This window comes from Homo sapiens, chromosome 5 (genome assembly GCF_000001405.40).
Source record: "Homo sapiens chromosome 5, GRCh38.p14 Primary Assembly".
Lineage (NCBI taxonomy): Eukaryota > Metazoa > Chordata > Mammalia > Primates > Hominidae > Homo > Homo sapiens.
In genome coordinates, this window is record NC_000005.10 from 29,127,447 (window position 1) to 29,151,886 (window position 24,440).

A 24,440-nucleotide genomic window follows, 5' to 3' on the forward strand; every position below is an offset into this window, starting at 1 on the left:
TGTTTACAAACCTTGAGCTAGATACAGAGTGCTGATTGGTGTATTTACAATCCCTGAGCTAGACATAAAGGTTCTCCACCTCTCCACCAGACTCAGGAGCCCAGCTGGCTTCACCCAGTGGATTCCGCATTGGGGCTGCAGGTGGAGCTGCCTGCCAGTCCCGCGCCGTGCACCGCACTCCTCAGCCCTTGGGTGGTCGATCAGAGTAGGCACTGTGGAGCAGAGGGCGGCTCTCATCGGGGAGGCTCTGGCGGCACAGGAGCCCACGGAGCGGGTGGGAGGCTCAAGCATAGTGGGCTGCAGGTCCCGAGCCCTGCCCCGTGGGAAGGCAGCTAAGGCCCAGCAAGAAATCGAGCGCAGCGCCGGTGGGCTGGCACTGCTGGGGGACCCAGTACACCCTCCGCAGCCGCTGGCCCGGGTGCTAAGCCCCTCATTGCCTGGGGCCGGCAGGGCTGGCCGGCTGCTCCGAGTGCCAGGCTTGCCAAACCCACACCCACCCGGAACTCCAGCTGGCCCGCAATTGCCACAAGCGGCCCCGGTTCCCGCTGACGCCTCTCCCTTCACAGCTCCCTGCAAGCTGAGGGAGTGGGCTCTGGCCTTTGCCAGCCCAGAAAGGGGCTCCCACAGTGCAGCGGTGGGCTGAAGGGCTCCTCAAGTGCTGCCAAAGTGGGAGCCCAGGCAGAGGAGGTGCCGAGAGTGAGCGAGGGCTGTGAGGACTGCCAGCATGCTGTCACCTCTCAATATTACAAAAAAAAAAGAAAGGAGGCCGGGCATAGTGGCTCATGCCTGTAATCCCAGCACTTTGGGAGGCCGAGGTGGGCGTATCACGAGGTCAGGAGATGGAGACCATCCTGGCTAACACGTGAAACCCGTCTCTACTAAAAATACAAAAAAATTTAGCCAGGCGTGGTGGCGGGTGCCTGTAGTCCCAGCTACTCCAGAGGCTGAGGCAGGAGAATGGCATGAACCCGGGAGGCGGAGCTTGCAGTGAGCCAAAATGGCGCCACTGTACTCCAGCCTGGGCACCAGAGTGAGACTCTGTCTCAAAAAACAAAAGAAAGAAAGGAAAAGAAAACAAACAGGAAGAGTTCTGCAGGACAGTGAGACTTCCAAATGAAGTACATTTTACTATCTGGATAGAAGACAAATTTTTATTTATCGGGGAAAACTACTCACACTTAAATAATAGACTTCAGTTTATTTTCTGTTCTTTGTAGCGAAATATGATTTTGTCTCTGTAAGTTGATATCCAAGGCTAAGGGTAAGCGTCTGCATTCTTTCCTTTCTTTTAAATTTTATTTCTGTCAGCTTATAGGGAATGCATATCATAGCAACACCAATGTTTAGGCAAGGGGAAAGTCGTAGTTTCTGTAAGTAATATTAGTTTACCAGGAAGGAGACAAAACTATTTTGAGACCAGAGAGGAAACACACCAAAAAGCAACAGAACCAATGTGAGTAAAAAGCATCTGCCCATACCCATTCTTTCTGTGTGGGGAATCTTAGTAATTTAAATCTGGAACCATAAGGTTGATACATTTTTAGCAACCTTTATAACACAGCCTCCATGCTATGAAATATTGTGCTAAAGGACTTGCATTATTGTTTTCAGTGCTACTTAAATCCTTGTGTATGTTAAATTTATAGTTGAAGTCAAGATAGATGCCTCATTCAGTCCAGGTTGCTATAGTAAAATACAATAGATGTGGTGGCTTAAACAATAAACATTTATTTCTCATAACTGGAGGTTAAGTCCAAGATCAAGGTGTCACCAGATCCAATATCTGATGAAGGCACTTCTTCTCGTTTGTAATGGATTTTTTTTTTCTTATATACTTATATGGTGGACAGAGAGAGGGAGAAAACAAATTCTCTTATGTATCTTCTTATAAGAGCACTAACTCCTTTCATGAGGCCTCCACCCTAATGACCTAAATAACTCCCAAAGTCCCCATTTCCATTACATTGGAGGTTAGCATTTCATTATATAAATGTTGAATGGACAACAACTTCAATCCATAACAATATATTAATAAGCATTAAACATCTACGATACATTCAAAATCATCAAAGTGATGTTATGAGATAACAATGATGTTAAAAAAAAAAAAAGGCTTTCCTGGTGTGAGTAAATAGACTTGAACTTTCAGGTTCATGGTTTTCAATTAAAATGTTATTCAAAGGGATCAAACTGTCTACTTCAATAGAAACATGGAAAAAAATGAATCACCATGGCAAATAAAGTATTTTATTATCCTTGAAGAAAAATATCTTTTATTTTTCTTTCTTTCTTTTTTTTTTTTTTTTGAGATGGAGTTTCACTCTAGTTGCCCAGGTTTGAGTGCAATGGCATGATCTCAGCTCATCACCATCTCCACCTCCTGGGTTCAAGCAATTGTTGTGCCTCAGCCTCCCGAGTAGCTGGGATTACAGGCATGCACCACCATCTCTGGCTAATTTTTGTATTATTAGTGGAGACGGGGTTTCTCCATGTTGGTCAGGCTGGTCTGGAACTTCTGACCTCAGGTTATTTACCCTCCTCGGCTTCCCAAACTGCTGGGATTACAGGTGTGAGCCACGATGCCCAGCCTATTTCTAAGGAATCTTAACAATATGTCACTTTACATGAATAAAATCAAAAGTTAATAGATCTGCTTTTGTAGAACCATGTATAGAATAGCAAATACTTTGTTATGTATTATAGTTCATGATTGCTGTCTGAATATCAATAATATTTTAAAATGCATTATAAAAACAATAATTAAAATAATTATCTGAAATTTAAAAATCATCCCTGCATTAAAAATGCAAATAATTTGTGATAGATGCAATTTTAAAATAAGTGTGTTTGCCTTTGTAATTATTTTCTTCCACCTTTATATAAAATGCCCTTATGTGGTCAAATGAAATTATAATTTTCTTTCAAATAAAACCCATGAGCATCTATTTAGTTTATTTTCTAGATAATTGGCTAATTATGTGTTTCTCTTTCCATCTCATTTTTCTCTCCATTTATTATGGCAGAAAGGTTAAATAGCGTATAGGTGGTCCCAGAGAATTCACTTCTATCACACATGAATCTCCATTTCTCTACAAAATTCACATGGATTATCCTTTCTAACTCACCCCTCAGTCCTTATCACTTTGAATGAGCCTCTTTCATGGAACACTTCTTTACATCTGTGCCTACTGTAAAATGTTCTTATAGTTGAATATACATACCGTGATGCAGTTGAAAGACAAACAGTATAGTATAATTATGTCAGGAAGCATGAAACTTTCCAAAGTTCATGAGACTATAAATGTCTAAACATAATGAAATTTCAGAATCTCATCCTTTTTTTACATGCTTCTTTAAAACTTATTTTTTTCAGGAATTCATCTGCTAATCCTTTCTTGCCTACCCTTTTGCAATTGTCCTCTCATATATCTCTCACATATTTGAAGTCTTACCATAGAACAGTAACCTGGGAGTAAAAATTTCTGGCATAACAAAGGGACATTTCAAAATACAGTACTTAACTGATGAAATCTCTCTTATCAAAATAAGAGCTATATAGGCCAAGCAAGCATAGGAAAAAAAAATGTTCAACATCACTAATCATTAGAGAAATGCAAATCAAAACCACAACGAGATACCGTCTCACACCAGTCAGAATGGCTATGATTAAAAAGTCAAAAATTAACAAAAGCTAGCAAGGTTGCAGAGAAAAGGGAACACTTGTACACTCCTGGTGGAACTGTAAATGAGTTCAGCCACTGTGGAAAGCAGTGTGGCAATTCCTCTAAGAACCTGAAACAGAATTACCATTTGAGCCAACAATCCCACTACTGGTTATACACTCAAAAGAATATAAATTGCCCTACCATAAAGACACACACACCTGCATGTTCATTGCAGCACTCTTGACAATAGCAATGACATGGAATCAACCTCAATGCCCATCAATGGTAGACTAGATAAAGAAAATGTGGTACACATACATCATAGAATCACACACAGCCATAAAGAAGAATGAGATCATGTCCTTTGCAGCAACGTGAATGGAGCTGGAGTCTATTATTCTTAGCAAACTAACAGAGACACAGAGAAACAAATCCTGCCTGTTCTCACTTATAAGTGGTAGCTAAACAACATGAACACATGGACACAAAGAGGGAAACAACTGACACTGGGGCCCGCTTTTGGGTGGAGGTAGGAGGAGGAACAGGATCAGAAAAAAATACCTATTAGGCATTACGCTTATTACCTGGGTGACAAAATAATCTGTACACCAAACCCCAGTGACACACAGTTTACCTATATACAAACCTGCACATGTAACTTTGAACCTAAAATGAAAGTTATAATAAAAAAGTTATATAGACCATGAAATTTTATTATTAATACACATCAAAATTTATATACAGGTTTTAGATAATACTGTACTGATAATTTTATTTAAAATGTAAACTGAGAAGCATCTATTTAAAACTTAATCACTCAAAAATCAGAAAATTACCAGTACTCTTTTTGTCTCTTTTCTGTCACTAACTCCACCTACAAAAATGTAAGCCCTATCTTGATTTTCAAAACCAAAGATGAGTTTTTTCTGTCTTGATATACATTCATATAGAACATATTCTTGGATCTTGGTCTTTCATAAATATTATCCTCATAAGACTATTCTATATCATTCTATGTACTTATTCTAATTACTAAATAATATTCTATTACATAACAAAATGCTATTCTGAAGTTGATGAGCATTTAGCTGATAGACAGTTTCTGATTTTAATGTATAATGTACATTTCTTCTTGTAAAAGTGTAAACACATTTCTGTTAGCTATTTACCTGGAAATAAAATTACTGAGTTATAGAATATTCATATGGTTATTTTTTCAAATTTCATTACCAACAGTAATTACGATATTGTAAGCAGTTTGAGACTTCCTAAACATTTTGTTTTGTGCATTTTTCTTACATTAGCCATTCTGGTGCTTATATAGTGATATTTGAAAGTAATGTAACTGAGTATCTTAGCCTTGAAATTAATTTTGAATTTTTTTTCTTTCCATCCGAATCTCAGAATATAGCCTTGTACTTTGAAAACTATTTTTTTTTTCAGACTAAGTCTTGCTATGTCACCCAGGCTGGAGTGCAATGGCATGATCTCAGCGCACTGCAACCTCCACCTCCTGAGCTCAGACAATTCTCCTGCCTTAGCCTCCTGAAGAGCTTGGATTACAGGCTCACACCACCACGTCCTTCTAATTTTTTGTATCTTTAATGTAGACGTGGTTTCACCATGTTGTCCAGGCTGATCTTGAACTCCTGACCTCAGATGATCTGCCTGCCTCGGCCTCCCAAAGTGCTGGTATTACAGGCATGAGCCACTGCGCCTGGCCCAAAACTTTTTATTTATCTCCCTTTCCCACCAGCACTTTCTATGCACAGCACTCCCTTATCTAATTACATGCTTGCTTAGAAATTCTAGGGGCAATTTTAAACTATACTATAAAGCTACAGTAACCAAAACAGCATGGTACTGGTACAAAAACAGACATGTATATCAACAAAACAGAATAGAAAACTTAAAGTTACACACCTACAACCATCTGATCTTGTACAAGGCAGACAAAAACATGCAATGGAGAAAGGATTCTTTATTCAATGAATGGTGCTTGGATAACTGTTAAGCCATACATCAAAGACTGAAGTTGGATCCCTACCTTTCACTATATACAAAAAATTAACTCAAAATGTATCAAAGATTTAAATGAAAAACCTCAAACTATGACAATTTTAGGCAGCAACTTTGAAAATACTCTTCTTGATATCAGCCTTGCAATGAATTTGGAGTAAGTCTGCAAAAGCAATTGTAACAAAAACAAAAGTAACGAAAACAAAAGTAGACAAGTGGGACCTAATTAAACTAATTACTAATAAAATTAGTAATTAGTTAATTAAAGAGATTCTGCATAGCAAAAGAAACTATCAACAGAGCAAACAAACAGCCTACATAATGGGAGAAGATATTCATAAACAATACATCCAACAAAGTCCTAATAACCTGAATCTATTGGGAACTTAAATCAACAAGCAAAAACAAAACAAAACAAAACAAAACAAAACAAAACAAAAAACACCAAATAACTCCATTAACAAAATGGGCAAAAAATATGAACAGAAACTTCTCAAAAGAAGACATGCAAGTAGCTAACAAACAGATGACAAAATGCTCAGCATCACGAATCATGCAAGAAATGCAAATCAAAATCACAATGGGATACCACTGCACACCAGTCAGAATAGCTACTATTAAAAAGTCAATAAACAGATGCTGGTGAGAGTGTGGAAGAAAGGGAAAACTTATACACTGTTGGTAGGAATGTAAATTAGTACAGCCACTGTGGAAAGCAGTCTGGAGATTTCTCAAAAACCTTAAAACAGAGCTACCATTCAACCCAGCAATTTAATTACTGGGTATGTACCCAAAGGCAAATAAATGATTCTACCAAAAGGACACATGCAGATGTATGCTTATTGCTGTGCTATTCATGATAGCAAAGACATGGAATCAAACCAGGTGTACATCAATGGTAGACTGGATAAAGAAAATGTGGTGCATATACACCATTAATTCTATGCAGCCATAAAAAATAGAATCACGTCCCTTGCAGCAACATGGATGCAGTGGGAGGTTATAATCTTAAGTGAATTAATGCAGGAACAGACAAACAAATACGGCATGTTCTAACTTATAAGTGGGAGCTAGACATTGAGCACACATGAATATCAATGTTGGAATAATAGACATTGAAGACTGCTGGAACAGGGAGGGCAAGGGGGGGATGGGTTGAAAAACTACCTATTGAGTCCTATGCTCATTGCCTGAGTGATGGGATCCTTATCCCAAATTTCATCACCCAATATCCTCATGTAACAAACCTGCATATATACCCCATATACCTAAAAGTTGAAATTTTTAAAAAATTACATTTTACCTTGTAAATATATATAATTATTATATATTAATTACAAATAATTAAAAAAATCCCCCTCCCCCAAAAGAAAGAAGTTCCAGGGGCCAATTTGAATCAAATCAGGGATAGACATCAAGCTGCCAAATCCCCCTGCTTAGTCTACCACTACTGGGCCAAAGTCAGCATGACACAAACCCAACCTCCAGACAGGTGATTATGCAAGATAACATTCAGAACAAGACACGCAGAGCTGCGCCCTCTTGCCCCACCCCTGTATATTCCCCACACCAAATTTTACTTCCTAAACCCCTTCACTCAGCCCAGAAGGCTGAGATGGTTCCTTTGAGGCTTGAGGCCAGCCATTCTCCCATCTGCTGGCATTTGGTTGATAAAAGCTGCTTTCCTTTACCACACCTAGCTTCTCATGTTTTGACTCTGAGCACCAAACAGCTGGACTTGAGCTGGTACATTAAGTGCAATCATCTCTTTTTTTTTTCCAAATAATATATCTTTTATTTTAAAAATTTTCTTATGGTGTTGCATTGTATTGTCTTTATTTGTCTTGTATTGTATTGTATTGCCCTGTATTGTACTGGTGTTGGTGGAAATTTTTGGCCTTCTTGTCTGGCTGTGCCCCAGTTCTGTAGAATGATTTGTAGTATACACGATATCAGGCATCCTTGTCTCATGCAGAACTCAGAGTCAACTTGTTCCTACTTCACTATTATTTGTCATCTTTGTACTTTGTTGTAGTTTTCTGAACTATTATGTTTTTATTGGTTTTATTTTTTATCAATACGTAATAGTTGTACATATTTTTGAAGTACATGTGATACTGCTGGTGATGATCCTGGTGCTGGATATTTGGTTTTGGTTTTCTGTCGGGGAGTGAAGCCAGATTACTTGCATTCTGCCATTTTTGGTGATGTCACTCCACTGAGGTATTACTCTTTTTTCTTTTCTTTTTCTTTTTTCTTTTCTTTTCTTTTTTTTTTTTGAGACAGGGTCTAACTCTGTTGATCTGGCTGGAGTGCAGTAGCACAATGATGGCTCACTGCAGCCTCAACGTCCTGGAGTCCAGCAATCCTCCTAGCTAAGCAACTTGCGTAACTGGGATTACAGGTGCACAGCACTACACCTGAATAATTCTTGCAATTTTTGTAGAAAGTGAGTCTCACTATCTTGTTTAGGTTGGACTCGAACTCCTGGGTTCAAGCGATCTACCTGCCTCAGTCTCCCAAAGTGCTGGGGTTACAGGCTTGAGCCACCACACCTGGCCAGTATTACTCTTTATTTTAATAAAAAGGTCATTCTCTATTTCTACTTTACTGAAAGTGAATATTATGAGTACATTTATTATTATTTATTAAGTTTTCTTTATTGAAATGATATGACCTTCGATTTTTGTTAACGTTATGAATTATATTGAATGTTTGCAGATGCTAACTTACTATTTCATCTATGAATTAACCTGCTTTGGTCAATGAATTTATCCCTTTCCTTATTGCCTAATTTCTTTTGCTAATATTTCATCAATGATTATTAAATCTATGTTCCGGACATGATGTTTCTGCATTTTTCTCTTCTTGTAATAAATTTATCCTGTGTTAGTATCATTGCTACTGTGGCCTCATAAAAATAATTGTTATTTCTTCCTTCATTTTTCATTATCTGGATGGTTATGTATAAATTTGATATGAATTTCTTAAGTATTTGGAAGAATATGATGAATCTATGTGGGTCTAAGCATATGAGTTTATTTTTATAGTTTTTTTAAATAATAGATTTTAATTTTGTAATAGATATCAGACTTTCAGAATACCTATTGCTTCCTTTATTTGTTTTGGTACATTGTGTTTCTCAAAAATTACCACTTTCACAAAAATTGTCCAATTAATTGGTATAAAGTTGTTCCTGCTATCCCCCATCTTTTGAAAACCTGTTCATGTTTCCGCTACACCAATAAGAAATGCTAATAGTAAAGTTATGATGTTAGATCATAAAAATCATTTCTAGAAACAAAAACATAAAATATTTGTAACATACTTTTTAAGTGAATGGTGCTTTAAATTTTTAATTAGTTCGACTATATATGCAGAGAAAGAAAAAATAGAGTGAGGCATACACAGGCAAAGGGCATACACTAAAGTCATAGCAAAGCTATCCCTGGACAATGGGAAGACAAAAATGCTTATCATTTTGTTATTACAGGTTTATTTTTCTACATTTTACAAGGTAACCATAAACATAAGTTGTTTTCATAATGAGAGCAAGGATTCAAATTAAAAAAAAAGGACACCATCGTTTTGTCAGAATCAGTTTTAAAATGAATTCAATTTCTAAATAATATTTATAGTTATGTAAATAAATGCAGTAATTTTATGTATTCCAAGGGCTTCCTAAATGGGCAAATGTACAGACTTTTATTTCAATATTTGTTTACAGAAGAATAAAATAGTATGTCTCTAAATCTTTTTCTACTTTTTCTGTAATGTTTACTTTCATTAGAAAATAAATGTGATGCCATTTATTTATAATGATATGCCAAATGCAGGTTGTTATTTCTCACAATTATAATTTAGTGTCATAATTTAACAGGGTATAAAGTTGGAAAACATTATAGAAAAACTACTTTTTGTTTTTGCTTGTGAAAATCTCTACTGACATAGAAGGCATGGCAACATGATCAATCAGTTGCACAATTGGGCTCTAGGTAAGTAATAATAGGAGATAGACGTGACATCAAGAGGAGAGTTATGCATACTTCTGAGTCTAATTTAGTCCTCTGCAAAACTATTAACATGTTATGTGATGGTCCCTAATATCACTGAGGTTCAGTAATTCATCAGAAGGGCTCACAACACTCAAAAGTTGTTATACTCAAGGATATGGTTTATCATAGCAAAATTATACAAATCAAAATCAGCAAAGGGAAAGTGCATAGGGCAAAATCTGGATGAAATCAGGTTCATATTCTTTCCCAGTGGAGCAGCATAGGACCCACTTAATTTTTCCAGCAAACAGTGTGACAAAATGCTTTAAGTGTTGTCTCTAAGGAAATATCATTAGAGAATCAGTATTCAAGGTTTGCACAGAAGCTGTTGCTGTACGCATCCTCTGTCTTGTGGTCAGCCTACAGAGCAGGATAGATCAGCACCCAAAATTTGGTTTGAATGTCAAGGCTGATGAGGAACCATTTACCCACCAAGTTTCTAGACACCAGCCAAGGGCCAATCTGACCAGCAGACTAGAAGGACTCACAGCACCCAAAAGTTGTTACCCTCAAAGTTATGGTTTATCATAGCAAAATTATACATATCAAAATTAGCAGAGGGAAAGTGCACTGAGCAAAATCTGGAGGAAACAAAGTACATGAATCCAAGAGTTGCTTAGGATAAAAGTCTGAGCCAACAGTGTAAACTCATTTTTTTTCCACAGGTGTACACTGAAGTTTAGATTGATTACTTGGCCACTTGGAGAGCATAAGATTTTTTTTAGCAAAGCATTAGAATTTGTTTCCTAGACTTGTGCTCCTTATGTAACCTGCAGATAATAGGACGTATTCAAATAGAGATATGAATATATAATATTCAAATGATGTGTTGTACAAAATATCTCGTCTGTCTAGAGTCTGGGTTTTTATTTGAGTCATCAACTTTAAACTTTTTCTTCTAACTTTCTTTGTGTAGTGTGAATTGATGAGGTGATTTTATGGGGAACAGATCTACTGTATTGCCAAGGCATAGTGTCTTAACAACCAAGCAATGAATGTGTAAAATATATTTTTGCCTTTTTGCCTTCTCTGCCCTGAGTGGTTTGTAGTTTGTATCTGTAGTTGTCTTCATATATAATCTAATTCTTTTGGATAGCCTTTGCCTAAAAAGCTACTATTTCTATATCTACAGTTACAGATATTTATATATTTATATTAGTTCCCATATACTTTAGTTTGTCTTTTTTAATAAGAAATCAATTAATAAACATTTTGAAACAAACCTTGCACAATACGAAAATAGAGTTTAGTTAACTTACATCTATGTGTCTGGTAAGTATCGTCAGTATGCTTTCAAGGTTAACACTTTTCCATTTGAAGGTTATAGTTTTAAAATGTAATTACCTTTAGATATGGGAAGAATCAAGTTATTTTTGTTGAAGCATAGTTATAATTCTTTTAATGAAAAGGAGCTTGAATATATATGCAAAGAATGGCACATTTATTAAAGTAATTATACTTTGAATACTTAGCTACAAATTTTATACCTCCTGGCTGAGGAGTAAAATTGAAATAGAAAACATGCTATAATGCAATTTACAATGTAATTAGTTGTCAGTGGCATTATGTATTTCGTGTAACTCCATTATTAAAACATTTACAATTTACATAATCAGACAAATAATTTAATGAGTTTGAGATAGAAGAGTTTTTTTCCTACTTACAATAAAAGGCTATTTACAAGCAGAAGTAATGGCCAGTTTTAGATACAGGGACAGATTAAGCACCATAAACTAGTTTGAGATGTTTAACCTGAATAAAATGGAAAATTTTATTTTTATTGTATTTATTGCCTGTTTTTGAAACAGAGTCTCACTCTGTCACCCAGGCTGGAGTTCAGTACCGTGATCTCGCCTCATTGCCACCTTCGTCTCCCCAGTTCAAGCAATTCTCCCAACTCAGCCTCACAAGTAGCTGGGACCACAGGCATTCGCCACCACACCTGGCTAAATTTATGTATTTTTAGTAGAAACGAGGTTTCACCATGCCTGGAGAACTTTATAAAGTTCCCATTGCCTGGAGAACTTTATAATTTAGTGTAATCTCAAAAAGAGTTAACTGTGAGTGGGTTTTGGGGTTAGGATTACAGAAGGAAACACAATTTCCATGCACGCAAGTGGTAAATAAGGGAACTATAATGGTGCATTTTTTGTTAAAAGAGCAACTGAAATACCCCAAGCTTCTCACAGAAACAATTCTGTAATACTTTACAGGGCTCTGAGGTCTTTGTAAAGAGGAGCCAGTAATAAAGGGGACTATTTCAGTTAATTTGTTATCATCATTATTGTGTCTTGAAATGGCTACTCTGTGCCTCCAGTTACTGGTGTGAAATTGTTGTCAATTTAGAATGATAATCTTCCATTCCTCCCTGGTGCAGCTATGTTTGATGGCAAGGCTGATTTAGCACTGAGTGAAACTCAAGATATTTTTTGTACCACCTCTGTCTTTTCTTAGAAAAAAATCAGATTAAAATTAAGGAATGCCTTCAATGACAAGAAAATCTAGAAGTTGTGTAGGTTTTTAGTTTTTATTTTAGGCCTTTTGCACCCAACAGAGTACTTTGCACATCTCTTCTTGTAAGTATTATTTAATCACTTGTTTTATCTAAAAAATTGTTACCTAGAATGGGCATCTACATACTATGGCCTATACACCACATTCACTCCACAGCATGTTTTTCTATTTTTTTTAATTAATTAATTTTTTGTTTACCCACTAACCAAGTATTGCTTACCATTTTTTAAATGGCTTGTTAAAGAAGAAGTAGAGGGAGGAGAAGGAGAAAAGAGACTGCATATAGGCTGCAGAACCTGAAATATTTATTTCTTGACTCTTTACAAAAAGTAAAAATAAAAATTGTTGATTTTTGCTGCAGAGCAGCACTTTCAATATTACTTTCAGCAATGATGGAAATATTTTACATCACAGATATCCAAGACAATATTCACTCTTACAGGAGTAATTATTTAACACTTAAACTATGGGGAGTGGAGTATTACAGAAGAAATGAATTTTCTTGCTGTTTCATTTAAAATAAGTTACATTTAAGTGTAAATGCCACACATGACTGGTGGCTACCATACAGTGCAGTAGAACAGAATGTAAGCTACTAAAAGGTAGAGTCCATTGGATATTCTTAAGCATTGAGTATTAAATTTTAATGTGCACATACACCACCCGGGGTCTTTGAAAAACAAGGATTTGGGTTTGGTAGATCTCAAATGAGGTCTGAGATTCTGTGTTTTTTAGAAGTTTTCAGGTAATGTTGTTAAATGATGGTGTTCAGATCATACTTTAAGAAGAAAGGCAGAATATCTTGAGAACAGCAGGTAACAAATTGTTGAATAAACAAATTTTACAATGTCATTTTCAGGAATTCTTATAAGATGAATAAAAAATTCATGAAAATAGGTGATTTATAACTACACATGTAAACTTAAGTCTGTCTTAGCACTAGCTCCTAAGCTATATCTGTCACCTTACTAAGGGGTGCTGTCAGAAGGTAAGACATCTAAGAGTGTATTAGACCCCAAGTTATTTTCTTTCTTTTTTTTTTGAAACAGAGTCTCACTCTGTCACCCAGGCTGGAGTACAATGGAGCGGTCTTGGCGTACTGCAACCTCCGCCTCCTGGGTTCAAGCAATTCTCCTGCCTCAGCCTCCCGAGTAGCTGAGACTACAGGTGCATGCCACCACACCCAGCTAATTTTTGAATTTTTAATAGAGACAGGGTTTCACTATGTTGGCCAGGCTGGTCTGGAACTCCTGACCTGGTGATCCGCCCACCTGGGCCTCCCAACATGCTGGGATTACAGGCATGAGCCACCACGCCCGGCCAGACCTCGTTATTTTCCAGGAATTATTCTGGGTATGTGTTTGTGCACATGTTTGTGGTTGGAAATGTTAAAACTGGTCACTAATTGAGTACTATTATAATGAACAATTATGATAGACTATGCCATGTAACATGAGCTCTAAAAGAAATCTAACTTAATACAGCCTGCATTTGTAAGGACTAAGGATACTTAAAATAATGAATTCTAAGAGATGGTGATTAACAGCGTGAACTTTAGAACCAAATTGCCTGGACTCCAACACAGGCACTACCACTAACAAACTTTGTAAATTTGGATATATTACTTACCCTGTCTGTGCTGCAGTGTCACTTTTTGAAAGTGACATTGAAAATAATTAGGGATAATGAAGGTAATTATGACATACTAATACATATCATGTTTACTAGGTGTCAGCTATTCATCTCAAAATTTTAATATATATATTACTTACCTAGAGCCCAATTGTGCAACTGATTGATCATGTTGCCATGCCTTCTATGTCAGTAGAGATTTTCACAATCAAAAACAAAAAGTAGTTTTTCTATAATGTTTTCCAACTTTATACCCTGTTAAATTATGACACTAAATTATAATTGTGAGAAATAACAACCTGCATTTGGCATATCATTATAAATAAATGGCATCACATTTATTTTCTCATGAAAGTAAACATTACAGAAAAAGTAGAAAAAGATTTAGAGACATACTATTTTATTCTTCTGTAAACAAATATTGAAATAAAAGTCTGTACATTTGCCCATTTAGGAAGCCCTTGGAATACATAAAATTACTGCATTATTTTAATATATTAACTCAATTAATCCCTAAAAGAAACCTCTGATATAGGCATGCTATTGTTATGCTCACTTTCTGGACAGAGAAAATGAAGCACATTGATGTCAACTGGAAAAGTTGCATTATAGTAGATTCAATCATTCAGCATCATTTATTTTAAAAATCTATCCTTTGCTCACTGATTTGTGATAAAATCTCAATTAAATATCAAGTGTCCATAAAATGAGTCTATTTCTGATCTCTCTTTTCTGTGTTGCTATGTTTCCATATGCCATATTATATTAATATAATTCTGTCTGAATTACTGTACCTTGATGACAAATCTCATGATTAAGAAAAGTTCATTAGCTCTGTTATTCTTCTCTAATGGTATCTTCACTATTCTTGGTTCTTTGTATTTTCAGATATATTTTTTAAAATTTTGTTCAGGACTGTCAACAAAGTAAATTTTTGGAATTAGGATTTTGATTGATATGGCTTTAAATCTATATCCCAATTTAGAGATAACTGACATCTTTACAGTTTTAAGTCTTATTTTATATGATCACAGGAAGTCTGTTCATCCGTTTGGATTTTCTTTTTTGACTATGTCATTTTCCCATGACAATTATTCATGAAATCATTTGGGGTAAATGATTTCAGAAATTATATGTATTTGCTTATCTTAGACATTTAGGAAAACCATCTTTTGGATTAAAATATTATGTGATCTTGGCTTGCAAATCTATGTTAAGATTTTCTTTTGATTATACAATCTCAAGGAAATCCTTACTAGACCTCCTGCTCTAAGATCAGTAACTTTTATTGTAATCTTCTTGTGATGAGGAAGTTGGAAGGGTTTTAGACTTGCTTCTCACTTTCACAAAAATTATAACTTTGTGTGACTGTAGATATTTAATTTTTTTAACTTTTATTTTAGGTTCAGGGTTACATGTATAGGTCTGTTATGTAGGTAAACTCATGTCATCGGGGTTTGATAGCAGAAAAAATAACTACTGGGTACTAGACTTAGTACCTGGGTGATTAAATAATCTGATAGTAGATTTATATCAAAAGGTTATTGAAATCAACTGGGGAAGGTGTTTGGGACTGTGTTCTCATCTCTTGGTATATACTGTGTCAAGGAGAACCAAAATTTGTCAAGTTCATAATTTTTGTGATAATGTCTCCAGGACAAAACTGTCTCTGATTCTGGGTCCCCATGTTCCCTTAAATATTCTATCTAGCTCCTTCTTTAATGAATTTAAGAACTTTCATAAAGAGTTCACGTACTCCTAACTGCAGCCTTTTTGTTTTCAGGACATCTAGTCACCTACTTTAACAAACATAACTCAAATTTATTTACGTAAATATTTTATAGTTATTATTACCTGCCCTTGTTGAATATCTGTACTGTTGTAATATAAGAAGAAATATCTATTTGTTTTTTTCCTTCAGTTCTTGACATACGGCTCCTGAAACTTTTATAGATAGGGGTACTAAGAGAATCTTCTGTTCCAATATTTGGACTTTGACCTCAGTTCCTGACACAGATCTCCTAAATCCTTGGCAATTTCCTGGATGATAGGATCATCTTTTGTTCTAATGAAGCAACTCTTGGTGGGCTCACAGAGAGTCTCAAGACAGGAGCTGGTTGCCAAGGAAACCAACCATGCAATAAGAGGATTAGAATATTCAGCCCCACCCCATGACTTCCAGAGACAGAGGAAAGGCTGAAGGTTGAGTTGATTACCAGTAGCTCACGATATAATCATTCATGCCTACATAACACAGCTTTCATAAGAACCCAATAGGACAGGGTTCAAGGACCCTCTAAAGAATGCCACACCTATAGAGGCATGGAAACTCTTTGCCACTTTCATCTGACTATTGATCTATATCCTTTGTAATGCCTCTTATAAGAAATGGGCAGATGTAAGTAAAGCGTTTCTCTGAGCTCTATTAGCTGCTGTAGAAATTAACCAAAACGCAGGAGGCTGTCTTGGAAACCTCCCATTTATAGTTGGTCAGTCAAAAGTATAGGTGATAACCTAGTTCTCAAGATTGGTGTCTGAAGTTGGGTCAATCTTGTGGGACTGAGCCTTCAGTCTGTGAGATCTGATGCTGTCCCCAGGTTGGCAGTGTCAGAATTGAGTTAAATTACAAAACACTAGTTTGGTTTCCACTGGAGAATCTGGAATCAGAAATATTCTTTTGAATGTCCATGTAAAAGAGTAGAGAGAAAAAACGTATGCTTTTGTCTTTACAATATCCTATTGCAAATTTTTCTAACTTTTACAAACCACATATGTTTATATGATTGTTTGTATTTATATACAACATATTTATTATTCCTTTATTTGTACTTTCTAGGAACAAACTTTATTAAAAATTACTAATATTACTGTTTAATATTAAATGTTGTGATTTCTCACATATCATAAAGATATAAGGGACTATAAAGATGAACTGATTTTATCAATAGAAAACATTCATATGGTGTATAATATATCAAAAGAAAGTCTAAAGCTGGAAACACAGTAATTAGTCATTCAGTGTTATGTATTGAGAGGTACAGTTTAAAAACTTTATTGTAAAAACAAACAAATAAACAAAAAAGAAGCCTCTCATACTTTTAATATTTTCAAGGATAAAGATCAGTTGAATTACCCATATTTAAAATTTAAATATGAGAACTTAATGTACCAGTTGATAATTAAAGACAAAGCCACCTAATTTCTTACAATTTAGAAAGAAATTGTGGAGATTCCACAGTTGGAAAATGAAGAAAATATTCTGGGCTTTAGGGATGTGGACAAAGTTACAGATCTTTCAAATCATATGCTAAAAACTTAATAAAAATATATTTTTGCCAGCTGTTTGCAGATTTTGTAAATTACAGTAAATGAGTTTTAAAAGCCATGTGCCAGATGGAGAAAGGCTCATATTTCCTAAAGTGTTAATGAAATTTAGTTATAGCAAGAGAGACACAGGGAAAAAATAATATTAGTATGAGACTGATAATGATTTTGTCAAGCCACAGCTGTCACAATGAACTACTCATCTGTCCGTATTTGGGCATGCTTCCCATATTTGCTACCACATTTATCATATAATAAAATACTGAAACTGTTGGTTTTTGATGCAAGTCAAGTTTAGTGGAGGTCATTTATTTTATAGATAACAGTTCTAATATAATGTGATATTGTATAACTACAATAATTCTAAGAAAACATGAACGGTTTTATGGGTAATTTTAAAATTCACATTAATTATAAAGGGTCACCATTTGAAAATATTTCAGGAATTGATAAGAAAGAACATATACAAATAATTCTATTCATTTTGTGATTTCAATGTGTTTTTAAATGCATTAATGATAATTTGAGAAATCAAAGCTTTTACTACACAAAAGTAGAAAATTAGCCATCGATAATATTGATAAATCCTGCAGCTCAAATTACTTCTCATTTTAGTATTACAAAAAGTTGCCTTCACAAACACAGTATCTTTTTGTGTTAGAAATCAATAGGTAAAAATGTCTTCCTGAAACATGAAATAGTGTCCAGTAAAATATGGCACACTCTTAAATTTCATATATTGTATCAATCAAATAGAGAAAATAATTTTGCAACGGTGAGAATGTTGTAGGATGAGCAAGGAAGTTATCAAATCCTGACACATTTACCAGAATATATTGTTTAAATGTATGCGATATTTAAATGGGTATTCTTCCTTCTCTCAAATATTAAGGGAACGGATATTGTCCAAATTGGCTCCATATCTTCTTTTAGTTAGGCATGCTAAATGAGAGCTTTAGAATTATTTAAATCCACTGACATGCTTAATTTGAAACAATGTTGTTTGTTTGGGGGACATCCAGAAATTTCAGTTTTAAATAATGATATATTAGCTGCAGGTGTAACAGTACCTATGCATTTATTGCTTCACAGTCTAGCAGTGTTTGTGAGAAAAACTGATGGATCCTGCAGATTAACTATGGACAGCCAAATATTGAGTAAAGTGATGTCTACAACAGCATCAGCTATGCCTGATATGGTGTTAATTCACATTGTGAAGGTAAATTGGTATTTTGTGATGGAAAACCCAGGGCCAATTTTCATTAATGTGAGATGAAACAAAATACACATTTATTGTTCTCCTAGAAGGACATTTAAATTTGTGTATGTGTTGACACCACTCAGTAAGAAGAAACAATTTTGATTTAATTGAAAGCTATTGTTATTATGTTGATGATATAATGCTGATATATATTTTAACCTGAAGATTAAGCTAAAAATGAATGAAAAGTAATGGTTATTTATATAAATACCCAGGGAAGAGTTACATTACTGATTATATGGATTAATTTGAATGAAGTACAGGACAAATAGTAAAATTCATGTTTATTACTTGGGCCAGAGTAACTAAAGACATTCCTCAATCAACCAAAAATAAATTATTGTGCTTTTCCAGTTCCAAAATCAGAAGATGATACAGAAAGATTGCTCTGGTTGCCTGGTTTCTGAAGAAATCGTGTACCCTGTCTGGATAGTGTCTTACTTCCTATCCACAAAGTTGTGAAATAATCTGGAATTAAATGGCAACCTAAACAACCCTAGAGTTGCCTGAACACAGAGCCATTGCTGTGTTGATCATTATAGCAGGTAGATTTTAATTTGGCCCCTAATATTCTTCACCTCTTAGTATTTTCACTCTTATGCAATCTCTCTTATTTGAGTATAGGCTGGTTTAGTGACTTGCTCCTTATCAACAGAATACAGCAAAGGAGATGAGATGTCACTTTCTTAATTAGTTTATACAAAATATGAGTTCTGCCTTGCTATCTTGTTGGCTTCAATAAAGGGAAGAGCCATATATATGAGGTCCACATGGACAAGGAAATGAGAAATTCCCTGAACAACAGCTAGCAAAGAACTGAGACTCTCATTCTAACACCTCACAAGGAAATGAATCTTGCTAACAACCACATGAGCATAAAAGCAGATTCATTCTTAGTCTAGAGTTCAGTTGAGACCCCAGCCTTGGCTAATACCTGTATTACAGTCTTGTGATAGACAGAAACAGAGAAGCCAGCTAAGGCATACAGAGATTCCTGATCCACAGAAATTATGAGAAAACAAATGTGTGTTGTTTTAAGCACCTACATTTGGGAAAATTTGTTACATAGCAATAGATCAATAACATAAGACCACGTGTGACCCTTGTGCTTAAAAGATATTAGAAGTGTCAGCAATGACACTTATGCTGGATGGAGCCTTTGGCAAAGGCCTGCAAGTACCACCTGGTGGTAGTCACTAGAAAATAATCTGAGGCTGCCTTCATGTCTACTCTCCTTGAAAGGCAAATGATGGCCTTTTATTGGGGTTTAATGGAAACTGAAACATTCATATTAGGATTTATATAAGAACAATATTCCAATACAAAGAAAAAGGCACAGAGAAACCCCCTCATCAAATGAAAATGGTTTATTTAAGAATATGCATCAGAACTGACCACAGGCAGTATTGATCATATCTATGAACAGGTAGCTCATAAGTCTTTAGGTCCTGTGTTAAAATTTTAGATGTTGACTAACCCCATAATTTTAAAAAGCTTAGAAGTTCTCTTGTATAATCAGTTATTAGAGGACTTCCTAACAGGCAGCATTGCTCAGGATGGAGATTCCACATTCAGTCCGGAAGGCATCTATATTGTGTCCTGTGATCGCTGCATTTTACTGACGAAGAAAAATATGTATCTTCTAAATGAGCAGAATTATGAGGGTGTTTCCATTGCCTTAGAAAAAATACACAATAACAATAATAGCAAGGTTAAGGGTTTATACAGTTTCTTAGGTAGTAACTGAGAGACTGACAATATGGTAAGGAAATGAGCCTTGGATGACTGGAGGATAAAAGAAACCCTACTGTGATGGTTAAGTTGAGGTGTCAACCTTGCTGGACTAAGGGGTACATAAATAGCTAGTAAAGCATTGTTTCTGGGTATATCTGTGGGAGTTTCCAGAACAGACTGCCATTTGAAATCAGTGGACTGAGTAAGGAAGATTCACCCTCAATGTGGGAGGCAGCATCCAATCAGCTGAAGACCAAGTAAAATAAAAAGGTAGGAGAAAGGCGAATTCAGTCTCACCTGAATTTGGGACATACTTCTGCCCTTGGACATCGAATCCTCAGGCTCTCTGGCTTTTGGACTCTGGGACTTGCACCCACAGCCCCCTGGGATCTCAGGCCTCTGGCCTCCAACTGAAAGTTATACCATCAGCTTGCCTGCTTCTGAGGCTTTTGGATTTGGACTGAACCAACCTACTAATATCCCTGGATCTGCAAATTCAGACAGCGTATCATAAGACTTCTCAGCTTCCATAATCCCATAAGCCAATTTTCCTAATAAATTCCCTTTCTTCTATCTATCTATGCATCTATCTATGTTATCTATCTATCTATCTATCTATCTATCTATCTATCTATCTATCTATCATCTATCTATCATTTATCTGTCTTACTGGTTTTTTTTTCTTTTTTTTATTATACTTTAAGTTTTAGGGTTCATATGCACAACGTGCAGGTTAGTTACATATGTATACATGTGCCATGTTGGTGTGCTGCACCCAGTAACTCGTCACTTAACCATTAGGTATATCTCCTAGTGCTATCCCTCCCCCCTACCCCCACCCCAAAACAGGCCCCAGTGCGTGATGTTCCCCTTCCTGTGTCCATGTGTTCTCATTGTTCTATTCCCACCTATGAGTGAGAACATTCGGTGTTTGGTTTTTATCTCTCTGCAGAACACTGACTAATACTCATACTTTGGGCAATGTGTTAAGAAGAGGAAATTTCAAAGTAGACTTATCAGTATCAATGAAAACAAAACACTTACAAATTCAGTGGCAGCCAGAAACAAACAAGGGGATGCCCCTTGTTCACTAAGTGGAAGTGGCCACTTGGCTAAATGAGATACACGGTTATGGAGGAATTCAAACAATGCAAAAGAGAGAAAAAGAGGAATCTCTTTGTTGGCCTCACTATCAAGCATGCACTTTTTCTTGCTGCCGTCTGTGGAACAATTGCTGAACTATTGAAAACTGCACACCAAGGGTAAAAGCTGGAGCTTAATTCCCCCTAAATATATCTACCCTCTTCTTTTTTAAAAATGTATTTCAATTAAAATTAGTGTTCTCTCCGTTTTAACAGGCATACTTTTGGATTTTTAATTTGTAATTTAAATAACCCTGCATAGTTTAGATGAGAAAAGTGTGTGAGAAGTCCTACTGATATCACTTTTCCTACTACTACTATTACCATTAGCTTAATTAAATATTTGCTGAGTCCGGTTTTATTTAATCATTTTCTTGAAATTTTTTTAGTAAAATTTAACAATTTTTCTTAGCGAATATTATTAATATCCTCATGGCAAGTGAATTACTTTCCTGAGGCACACAGTTGGTAAGTGAATAATGAATAAATATTTTAACCCAGGCAGGCTCCCTTCAGAAAAGACATTCCAAAGCACTTTGTTACACTGGATTTAACAATATCTTAACATAATTCCTCAGCAGGTGGATCATAGATAATGAAATGTACACTAATGTAAGCTGTTCAAGTATATGAGCTATGATTTTACTTCTGATTTGTTCTGTAGGCAAATGTAGAAATCATTCTCTTTAGAATTTCCTGGCCTCTGTGGTCATTCCTGAGTACATCCCCTCTCCCCTCAGACACACACAGTCTTCACTAATGATTAAGAATACATTTTCTGATTAAGAATACATTTTCTGTTTCTGATACCTGCTGTGGTATTGAACTCTGGGAGAAAATACTCTATTTTCTTATTTTTTTTCCATATACTGGAATGTACCCAAAAATATTTCCACAGAACAATTCTACCATTATCAGCAGGTAGTGACCAGTCAACTTTTCTGTGATGTTTGAATGGCTTATTATGAGAGTGAGAGCATTGATTTTGTTTCTCAGTTTTTATAATAGAATGTGACCTGCACTACAGAAATCATTTTTAACTCATTTCTGGGTATGATTGAGCAGTTGTGTGATAAAGAATTTGGCCTTTGTCCCCAGTTTCTGGGAGGTAACCTCTAAATACTGGGAATCTCTTCAGTGATAGAAGTGTCTTTGTTATTCATGGTGGACTCTTTAGACCACATCTGATGGTTTATGTAGAGGTGATTCAGGGTGTACCTTTAGATAATTTGTGCTAAAGACGTGATTTAAGATGGGGACTGGTCATGCCAGAAAGATCAACCTTGTAAAGCTTAGAGCTTTGAGCCACATTATATCAGCCAGACATCTGGAGAGGGGAAGGAAGCTGGAGGATGCGCTCAATAGCATGCACAGTGATTTAGTCTATCATTCTTAGGTAATGAAAATTCAATAAAAACTCTAGACATGGAAGCTTGAGTGAACTTCCTTGGTTGACAGTGCCGTATATTGTCATACATCGTGGTTCTAAGAGGGTAATGTGTACTGACTCCGCAGGGAGGAAACAATGAAACGCCTGTAGTTACAATCTTCCCAGAATTTGCCCTACATGTCTCTTCCCTTGGCTGATTTTGATCTGTATGATTTTGCTATAATAATAAAACTGTAATCATAACTCTTTCTGAGTTCTGTGAATTGTTGTAGCAAATTATCAAACCTGAGCAGGTAGTGAGAGCCCCAGAATTTATAGCCAGCTGATCAGAATTGAGGGTGGCCTTGGAGCATGTAGCTGGTGTCTGCAGTGAGGGTGCTCTTGTGGAGAACCACTTCTTCCTTAGGTGTGGACACGTGAAGTTACGTGGATGTCTGTTTTCCTCAAATCCGTATATGGTTTGGTTTGACTGTCACTCTGAATAGAGTCAGGTGTACCCCAAGGAAGAGGCCCTGGGGTTGGCAAAATACCTCTTTATGAATATTCATGTGCCTTGGCACTTCAAAAGGCTTGAAAAAAAAAGTGCTTCAGTGTTTGCAGGATGCTAGAATCACTTGCTGTAAAAATATTTACAGCTGTGCTTCAGTTTCCAGGTCTTTGAAAAGATGTTTCAGTAGTGTGGGTGCTGAGTAGCTTGTGTAAAATTTTTATTGTGAGCACCACCTTTTCTGGGCACTGACTCCATTTACAAGTGTATCATTCCCCACTGTGAGCCAAGTTTACAGCCAAACCAAGGCAGAAAAACACCCTGGAATTCACATGCAGTTTTCATCCACAGATCCCAACTCAGGAGTCTGCCTGAACTACAATCCCCAGAATCACCCACTCCTTACCTGACCTCTAGAACTACTTACTGTTCCTCCACTTGCAGGCATCTCAGTGTCATTAACACTCATCCCCTTGCCTTTTGCGTTCCACTTGACACTGACCTCCTCCATCAGCAGAATGAGATCTGTCATTTGGGATACACATTCTGTCCATTATGCGTAAATGTAATTTAGGTCCTTGCTGCCCAGGTTGAGTCTTAAGTCTTTCATGCAGTGAATGCACAGAAAATAGAATAAGCTGAAACTTGTTTGCTCCATTCTAAACAAAAATGTTTATGAGAAAAATAGTAAAGTGGTTTCACCAGTTTTCCTCAAGTAACAGTAATAATTTAAAAGTATTAAATATTACCAACTTCTGTTAGTGAATAAATTACAGTAACACCTTAAAACATAAGGTATACATAGTAGTCTAAGATTTAAAGGTATTAAACTTTTTTTTTGAGTTTAAACAGTATATAATCTCAGGACCTAACCTTGTTGTCTATAGTCATGTTTTTAATTATTTAAAAAATGTATCAGGTAAGTTACGTAAGGTTAAGTTGTATGAGGTTTAACTTTAAGTGATCACTTTTACTTTCAGTAAAATTTCATAAATATATTAATCAGAAAGGAAAGTAAAACTTAGAAGTATGCTAATTGTCTTGTGCTTTGCGAAATAGATGGAATGAGACCACTTAGAATAGAATGAGGCTTTGTTCTTAATTGCTGTCAGGTGAATGATGTTACAATTTTGCACATAAAACAGAAATAACTTCACAGATTTCAAAGAAAAAAATATATTCTAAGGTTCAGAAAAATAAGGAGTTGGTTGTCTTTC

At 35.9% G+C, this 24,440-nt stretch overlaps 2 long non-coding RNA genes across 3 annotated transcripts in view; one reads left to right on the plus strand and one right to left on the minus strand.

The window, feature by feature from the left end:
• The window catches only part of LOC105374699 (uncharacterized), a 56,997-nt gene extending 41,169 nt beyond the window's left edge, over positions 1-15,828 (minus strand). The window contains exons 1-3 of one of the 2 annotated variants that reach the window (XR_925879.3): positions 15,740-15,828; positions 14,680-14,800; positions 14,026-14,140 (exon numbers count right to left, since the gene is read on the minus strand). This is a non-coding gene — a long non-coding RNA (uncharacterized LOC105374699). The remainder of the gene's footprint in view (positions 1-14,025; positions 14,141-14,679; positions 14,801-15,739) is intronic. The other variant, XR_925880.3, reaches the window with a different exon arrangement.
• A 228-nt stretch (positions 15,829-16,056) lies between these two features.
• The window catches only part of LINC02109 (long intergenic non-protein coding RNA 2109), a 29,473-nt gene continuing 21,089 nt past the window's right edge, over positions 16,057-24,440 (plus strand). The window contains exons 1-3 of the long non-coding RNA NR_130777.1: positions 16,057-16,283; positions 18,302-18,428; positions 18,825-19,015. This is a non-coding gene — a long non-coding RNA (long intergenic non-protein coding RNA 2109). The remainder of the gene's footprint in view (positions 16,284-18,301; positions 18,429-18,824; positions 19,016-24,440) is intronic.